We start from the raw sequence: 8,869 nt of genomic DNA, 5'->3' as shown, positions 1-8,869 counted from the left end.
GTCTCCTAGGAAGAAACTAATCTTACTACAGTCATAGCTAGAAGAAAGGACAGACCTCACTTCCTACAGCATGGGGGAAAACTATCTAGTATCACAGTGAATTTAAATAGGGCTGGTGTAGAACTGGGAATATGTTTTAACCAATTCTCCAGGTTCTAATGGGAATGGCTATTGAACCACTCTCTATAAAACACAATGTTAATCACATCTCAGCCTTTTGGCTAAGATCAAGTGTAGTATCTCTTCTTATCAGTTTAAAACACAATGTTTATTTTCTCCACTGGTATTATACATTCATACAACCTATCTTGCAATAATCATTTTTAAATGCTAAAAGAATATACATTTATGGTAAAAGAATAAAATTCCATTTTAAAAGCTTTCGTAAACTAAATAATTTTTTGTAAAGATAAGACATTTTAATGACTAAGAAATCTTAAAACCTTAGTAGGCGCTAAGATTGCAAATCTCTTCTGTCATTTTGCCATTTGTCTATTAACTTCTTCCCTTTTTGAAAGAAATGTTTTATTTGAATGGAATTAAATTCATAAATTTCTTTGCCTTATGAGTTATGCTTTGAAAATTTAAGATTTTTATTAGAGAGGAGACTTTTTCATGAATGGTTATTGTTTTACCTGTCATAGTGAGGTTTAATTTAAATAGAGATCACATCGTACTCAGTAGGAATTAAGTTTTATTATTTTTCCATAGAGTTGGACAGCCTTATTTTGTTTTTTACAATACATCTATTTCCCATTGACTTAGGAGTCATTCTTGGGTATGTTTGTATATCTCCACAAATTACCTTTATACAGAGGTCTGTCTCTGTTGTTCTCTAATCTTTTGCATTGATCTGTTCTGTTCTTGCACTAATCTACACTACTTTTATTACTGTCTTTGTAATATTTTTATTTATACATTTTTATTTATTTGTATGTAATATATAATTTGTTAAGAATGTATATTTATGTAATACTAAGTAATCCATCCAAGATCATGAAATGTCTTTCTATATGTTCACTTTCATCATAAAGATCCTATGTTTTTGGTTAAGTCCAAAATATTTTTTGGATTTCTATTGATTTTATAAATTACAAAAACAGATAAAGGAGATAGAAAAAGGAAAAATACAGACTCACTTATGAACCTAGGTGCATCATAAAATTATAGCTAACCATGAAAATATGGAAAAGGTGATGGGATATGAGTCGCCTGAATAGTCTATGTAATAGAGCAAATGTGATAGAATGTTACTCCTGTGAACAATTAGGACTGTTAAGAAGGTTTTGCAAGTTTATCAGTGCCAAGGTGAAATAATTGAAAGGATCAGAATCCAGATTAAAAGAGTTTATTCAAGTGTAAAGCTAAGAATAGCCATTCAGGTAACAGACTTCAGAGGAATGGGATCAGTACTCCAAAGCTAAAAGTTAAGGTCCGCTTATATAGGTAGAAAACAATGAAATTTTGTAGGATTGTAACATTTTCTATACAAGGCCAGTTTATGAGTTATAACAATTTAGCTGCAGTTTGTCTTCTTTTTCACACATCTTGCTTTATTTTTCTTTCTAATTCAAAAGAATGTTTTTAACATTCTCTCTTAAACAATGTGATACTCATGAAGTCTTTGTGGGAGAGAGGAAAGAGAGAAGATAATTTGTAATTAAGACCAATAGGTAGGAGGGAAGAAGTCTTCCCCAGCACCTGTCAGTCATTTACAATATTTTATAAAACAATGTAAGTAAAAATGCTAACATATAATCAGAAAAACAAATGTTACAGCTGCCTAGGTTATAGCTGCCTGTTTTTGTGACTCAGGTTTCATAATTACATTCCCTTAAGGCTCAAAATATTTTTAAGTTCCAACAGCTTAGATTGTGAATTACTTATTTTCACATATGGAATTCAAGCTGTAACAATCATTAGAGGAAATGTGCAGAAAAATTGAAAGAAGACCAAAGAGTATCCATAGAGGGAGCCACATTTCAGGGAAAAAAGAAAGAGGCATAATCTAAAATAATATAAAAATAGAAATATGAAAGCTATTATAATAAAAATTATGAGCCCTTCAGGCTTCCAAAATGAGAAGGTTATTAATGATGTCAAAGCTGTGGGAATTGGAAAGAGGATTTAGTGAAATCATTAGACTAGTGTGTCATTCCACTACTTAAACTTATTCTTCATTTTTTAAAGATGTTAAATAGTACCTCATTGTAAACTGTATTATTATTTGTGTTTATATGATTTAACAGAAAATGGTTCCTAAAATCGGTGAAATTTTAAAATCTGACTAAACAGGATCCACTTCTAAACTTTCCTAAACTTTTGTTTTATCTTATAAAACAAAAAAAAATGTTTAGAGGACATTTATCTCTTTGGATAGCTTTAGTGTATTCTAGAAGGATTTTTTGGTATATTTACTATTTACTGTGGTATTCACTTTTATTTTCCCTTTTAATTTTTTTCACTTTTGACTTGACCCTACTAATTGGAGTAAAAGAAAATCTGCACTTTTTGTTCCATAATTCTTCAATTAATTTCTTTTTCTTATTTTGAAGACACACCACAGGAAGTTAGGTATATACATATGGACTGATATATTGTGTTATCCTTCTAACCAAAAACCCCAGTATAATTGTTGTGAGAATGTGATTATTTTATAGATTTGGCTTCAAAGCCTAAAAACCGATTTGGGTAACACTTTTTCTTGAGAGATACAAACACAAATTTTTCTATTATCTACCAATTTTATCCATTCAAATGACTGTTGTATTTTCCTAAGAGACTTAGTTTTGTGCTAATAAAGATAGTATCAAACACTCACATTTATTGACATCTAAATGCCACCACGTTGAGTGAAATCTAGATGTAGCCTATTGTTATAAAAATGTCAATCCATTGTATCACCCAAGGACAGTCTTGAAAGAGAATGTTTTTTAAAGTATTTATTCTTTATTGATTTTGAATGAACAAACAAAAAATGAAGGCATACTTTTGAAAGTCATACTTAAATTTTTTAAATTGCAGCTAACATTTGGCCTTTCTGAACAGTCCCTGAATAATATTTAAGAACCTAGACTCAAGCCAGACTCTTGGGTTTGTTGGTTCCTTGACTTACTCTTTATGAAGCCCTGAGCAGGGTGCCACACTTCTGAGCACTTATTACGTGCAAGCACTGTTCTATTTTCCATTAATTAGCCCAATTTACAGATGAGACAGTGGTGGCACCGGAAGGTGAACCAATTTGTCCAAGGATATTCAGCTAAGTAAATGCAGAGCTGGAATTCCAACCAAGGCCGCCTGGCCTGCGAGCCCAAGCTCTGTTTAAACTCCATTCTATAACTTTCATTTTAGTATTTTGGCTACAATGATTATTTAGAAATGAGCAACTCTACTTTTTTGAATTTAGCAGCTAATTTTCCTTGATTAAACCGAGATAGGTCTTCTGGTGTGACATAGCCCTCTCTATAGCAGGTATTTATACTCTTGTACCCTAATAGCCTTACTAGGAGAAAGCCTTTCTGGAGAAAGTGCTGCACTTTGCTATCATATTAAACCATTAACTCTTATTTCAACAGACTCTCAAACCTGCACGGCAATATTCTGCTAATCTGTTTGATGATCTGCCACAATTGGCAAGAATTATTTCAAAATTTTTCTCCTCTCATGAAACCTCCAAGTGTAACCCACACTCATGGCGCAGAAGATGAGGTACTAACTTGAGGCTAACTGATAGAATCTTTTTATCTTCTTGATTTAAAACATTGAGACCTGTGTACATAAGAATCTACACACATGCTATCTTCCTTCCTTCCTAAAAGAAGAGAATACCATTTCTTCCTCCTAAGGCCTATCCCTCCATTAGCATTCTAGAGCTTACTCTATTGCATTTACTCAAAACCTGCACGCTGAGTATGTCTTTGCCATCGTGTGTTCTTTTTTCTTTTTTTTCTTTGAGACGGAGTCTCACTCTGTCACCCAGGCTGGAGGTTAGTGGCGCAATCTTGGCTCACTGCAACCTCCACCTCCTGGGTTCAAGTGATTCTCCTGCCTAAGCCTCCTGAGTAGCTGGATTACAAGTGCCCGCCACCACGCCCAGCTAATTTTTGTATTTTTAATAGATACTGAGATTCACCATGGTTGGCCTCGAACTCCTGACCTCAATTGGTCCACCCACCTTGGTCTCTGAAAGTGCCAGGATTACACGCGTGAGCCACCATGCCCGGGCTCTTGTGTGCTTAAGTATGCTCAGGTCTCAATAATCTTCACTCTAGCCTCAGAGCCTCCTACAACTACCACTTTTTTTCTCTCCACCCTTAATAGCAAAACTTATTAAAAGCATCAACTGTATTTTTTTATCTTCATTTCTACTCTACCACTCACTTCCTGGTCCAAGATTCTACAGTAACATCCCACATAAACAGTTTTTACTAATGTTATCTATACCCTACAAGTAGCTTAATCAAGCCCTGTCTTACTTGATACTTCAGCAGAATTTCACAAATCCTACTACAGAATTACAAACTTTGTTTCCCAGCAGAGAGCTATCCTTGACTTCCACATCAATATATCTAACTGCCTACTTGATATACCTGCTGATGTCTCAGAGAGAAATCAAACTGAACTCACATTTTATACAAATCCATCCCATTGCAATGTTTCCTATTTCAGTGAATGGCTCAATGCAAGTTATTAACCCTTGAGTCTCTTGGAGCGTCCCGCTCCCTCACTCCTTACCCAATTTTGCATCACTGTTGATTTTATCTCCTAAGTATCTGTCTAGTCCATCCATAGAGAGTTTATATGTCATACATCATAGAACATCCTCAGCATGGTATGGGACATCATTCTATAATTGAACACGTTAATATTTCTGCAGTGAATCATTAATTAATATATTGCTAAATGGGGTGAATAATAACTATAAATAGCTTCATGTCAATTGATTTCATGTTCTGCTGTCATATGAGTTCAGTTAAGTCAGAGTTTCTACCAAGTGAGTTATAAAAACAATTTTCAGTTATTGGAATTGAAATTCAGAATTGTGGCTAAGCAATTGTGAATCTGCCATGACTTACCAAGAAGTAATGTGCATAGTGGTTAAGAGCATGGGCAGCAGAGCTAGACTGGGCCCAATTCCATCTCCACCACTAACTAGATCCTGGACAAGTAACTTAACCTCTCTGTGCCTAACTATTCTCATCTGTAAAATGTGAGTAATAAGTTACCCACCTCATAAGATTTTTGAGGAGATCAAATCAGCCAATGCACGTAAAGTGCTTATAACAGTGTTTTATACAGAATAAACAATCAGTATTAGCCACCACGAAGCTTATGCTATTAAAAACAGTGGTGTAGTTCAATGTCCTTGCACTTATGAAACTCGGAAAACTTCTTAGACATAGGATTGTTTATTTATTTAATTTCATTTTATTTTTTGAGAGACAGAGTCTGTCTCTGTCACCCAAGCTGAAGTGCAGTGGCATGATCACAGCTAACTGCAGACTCAACTTTCTGGGTTCAAGTGATTCTCTCACCTTGGCCTCTCAAGGAGCTGGGGCTACCAGACGTCACCATCACACCTGGCAAACTTTTTAAATTTTTTTGTACAGAAAGGGTCTTGCTATATTGCCAGCTGATCTTGAACTCTTGGGCTCAAGCAATCCTCCCACCTCGGCCTCCCAGAGTACTGGGATTCCAGGAGTCAGCAACTGGCCAGAATTGTTGAATCAAAGGAAATATCACTTAAAATTTTGTTAAATAATAGAAATCATCCTTCTCAACATTTTCTACAATTAATACTCCCCAAAATATAATATGAGCTTACCCAACATCCCAACATCCTCTCCAATGCTGGATAAAGTCAACCATTTTGGTAAATCTGGAAGGTGAGAAAATTATATATATCTTGTGGTTTCTATTATTTCTTTAATCATGGGAGATTCTTTTTAAATTCCTTTAATTATGAGAGAATAAAATATTTCATTAATTTATTGGTTATTTATACCACTGCATGTTTACATCTTCTGCCTATTTTTAATTATGAAATATCTGGGGTTTTTGAATATTTAAAACTCGTTAAAGGAAGAACAGAAACTAAGTTTTTTTTCTTTCATATATATGTATATTTGTATGTGTGTATATATTTATACATCTATGAATTATTCTTAATATTTCACATGTCACCCATATGAGTTTTCCCACATATCAGCAGAACGGGGCTACCCTAGATTCCCTGCCATGCCCAGTCATTAACCAGGAGCAGCCAGTGAAAAGCACAGTGTTGGTACAAATGCACTGGTAGATTCAGGGAGCAGCGCAGGGGCCATCATGCCGCTATGCTCCCTGCAGCAGGAAATCTCTGCAGTAAATTTCCATAGCTACCAAAGCCCACCTTGGAGCAGTACAGATCTACCACTCCATGAAGGTCTCGAGGTCAGCCCCTCCACAGTTCTTGTGAGACTCTCTTCCCAAGGAGAAGCCTAAAAGAGGGAGGTTAGTGAGATGAACTAGAGTCTCATCATTATAGTTGGCTGCAGGGCCACAGCTGGTACTCATCCTTGCCTGTCTCCACTTTCCATTCTAAATTTCTTGTAACTTCACCTATTACCTCAAGAGGTCTGGGTAACTACTGTGACCCAAAACCCCCTTTTTGAGGGGGGTGAGGACTCAATAATCATACTTTTTTCAGATTTCATTGCTGTTCTTGTTCATTCATGATTTCAATAGGGCAAGGTAGTAATGGAAGGCAACCAAAGATCACATGAGTATCACAAATATTTCTTCCTGTCCCATTGTATAAAAGCGGCCTATATCCTCCTCCTGGTCAGAGTTGTTAACCTCTGCCATGATGGTGACTCCTTCCTTACAGATTCCTGGAAATAAAAAGTTTCCAGTGCCCTGACAGCAAATGACACTTATAGTTCAATGGGAAATTTTCTGTGCCCCCTGTCAAGAGTGAGTCTCCTTAGGGACCAAGACCTCCAACCCTGCAACTGTAGAGTAGTGGGACAGGAAACACAGAGTTATTGGGAAAGGTGGTATGTAGGGCTATTTTTGCTTAAATTCCTTTGTTTCTGAACCCATGTATTCTTACTGGGGACACAGCACTGTATGCACTGCATAGAGGTCTCTGGTTTAATACATACAGTGGATCCTGAACGATGACACCTCATTCTTTCAGAGCGTTACTTCTGAAACTTTGCCTTTGGCAGGATGTTCCAGCATTCAGTGATGACAGCTCTTCCCTGCATGGTATGGTATGTGATCTAATCAGTGGTTCCAATGAAACTAATCCTCCACATTTTCATGTGTGGAATGTGGGATTCGATGTCTGTGAACAGGCATCCCATAGTCCCACGATAGTAGTGCTGCCTGAGCTCTGTGGATGGCAAAGAAAAAATTACATACAGAATATTAATCCATCCCTGTGAAGGCAAGTTGCTGGCCTTTCCAGGACAGACGATTATACTATATGGATATTATAATATAGTTGATTGCCACATACTGACTTGTTGGTCTCCTTAAGGAAGCATGTCGTATTGGGGGCTCAGCACTGGCTCTCAATTTTATTAAGCTTCTAAGGAGCCATCTTAATAGTAAACTTATCTCCTCCCCTATGGTTCCTGCCAGGGTTTTAAATTCCTTTTCCAAAGAAAGTGCCACCAAGCTAATAAATTATTATTTGTCCTATTTTACATTCTAGTTCTTTTATAAAGCACCCTGAAAATCTAATCTCAGGTACACTCCCCTGGCTCCTACCAGTACACTATAACTAAGTTTCACAATGCCTTCAGATTATAAACTTTCCCTTCTCAGGCCCAGCAGATGGGATATGCTGGAATTTAAACTTAATTAGCCTGGGAGCCAGAAGAGGAACAAGGAGGAGTTCCTGAGTGAGACACCTGTTATCTTACACGGATAAGGCCTCTGCAGAGCATTATAGCAAAAGGTTAACTACTTTTCTAGAGGATCTGCAGAGCCAACCTATGCAGGAGTTTCACCCCAAATGTCCTTTCTCTGTTTCTGGATTGTGGGTTTCCAATCCAGAAGGCTGAATTTAACATAACAGGCCTGTCTGAAATGATGAACATTCAAACACCTCTGGAGCTCTGTGACTCGTCAAATCTTTGTTTTTCTGCGCAGTTGTGTCTGCTTTTCTGCTCAGAAGATAACGTACTCATTAGAAGCTACCAAAGAGGCTTTCTGGTTCCCACACTTAGCTTTTAACAGCTCTCAATTTCTTATTATTCCTCTGTAAGATGACAATACAACTTGGTACTAACAAGCCAATGCTGCTGTTTTTGTAAACATTCCCCTCACTTCCATATCTCTCAAATATCTGAGTCATCAAACCTGCAAGGCATTCCCCTTCTTGGTATGCTTTCCCAAGTTACCACTGCTGAAATATTTAGCAACTGAGCAACCAATTTGTGGCAGGGATGATCCGCTGAGGATGGCATCTTCTTTGTCCACTAGGTGCTTGGTAAGATAGTCTCATATCCTCATCCTATCACCTGCTTTCTTGGATCCCTCTCATAACCACTGTGTTTATTTAGGTCTGCTGAGAAGCACTTACCAATATGAGATAATGCATGTAAGAGATTTGAAAAGGGAACAGGAGAAGGTAGAGGGAACCTTTAGAGTGACTCCTGTGTAAGGAGGGAGGGAAATAAAGAGGACAGGGTAGGAGGAATCACAAATAGCAACACTAGCAGCACAGTTCTAAGAATGATTGAACTAACCAAAAGATGGGGCAGGTCTTTGATCCAAAGACACACACAGGAAGAGTCCAGCATCTAGCAATAATGGGCTCGTCTTATTACGTTCTCTGTGCTCAGTCATTAGCTCAGGGTAGCTTGCAAGAAGTATG

General features: G+C 37.0%; 1 pseudogene; it reads left to right on the top strand.

Moving 5' to 3' along the window:
- Positions 1–201: 201 nt before the first annotated feature.
- Positions 202–307, top strand: LOC124902096 (uncharacterized; annotated as a pseudogene).
- Positions 308–8,869: the final 8,562 nt, after the last annotated feature.

The sequence above is a fragment of the Homo sapiens genome, chromosome 8, assembly GCF_000001405.40.
Source record: "Homo sapiens chromosome 8, GRCh38.p14 Primary Assembly".
Classification (NCBI taxonomy): domain Eukaryota; kingdom Metazoa; phylum Chordata; class Mammalia; order Primates; family Hominidae; genus Homo; species Homo sapiens.
The sequence above is the reverse complement of the archived record's forward strand: the minus strand, read 5'-3'. Positions and strand labels throughout refer to the sequence as shown.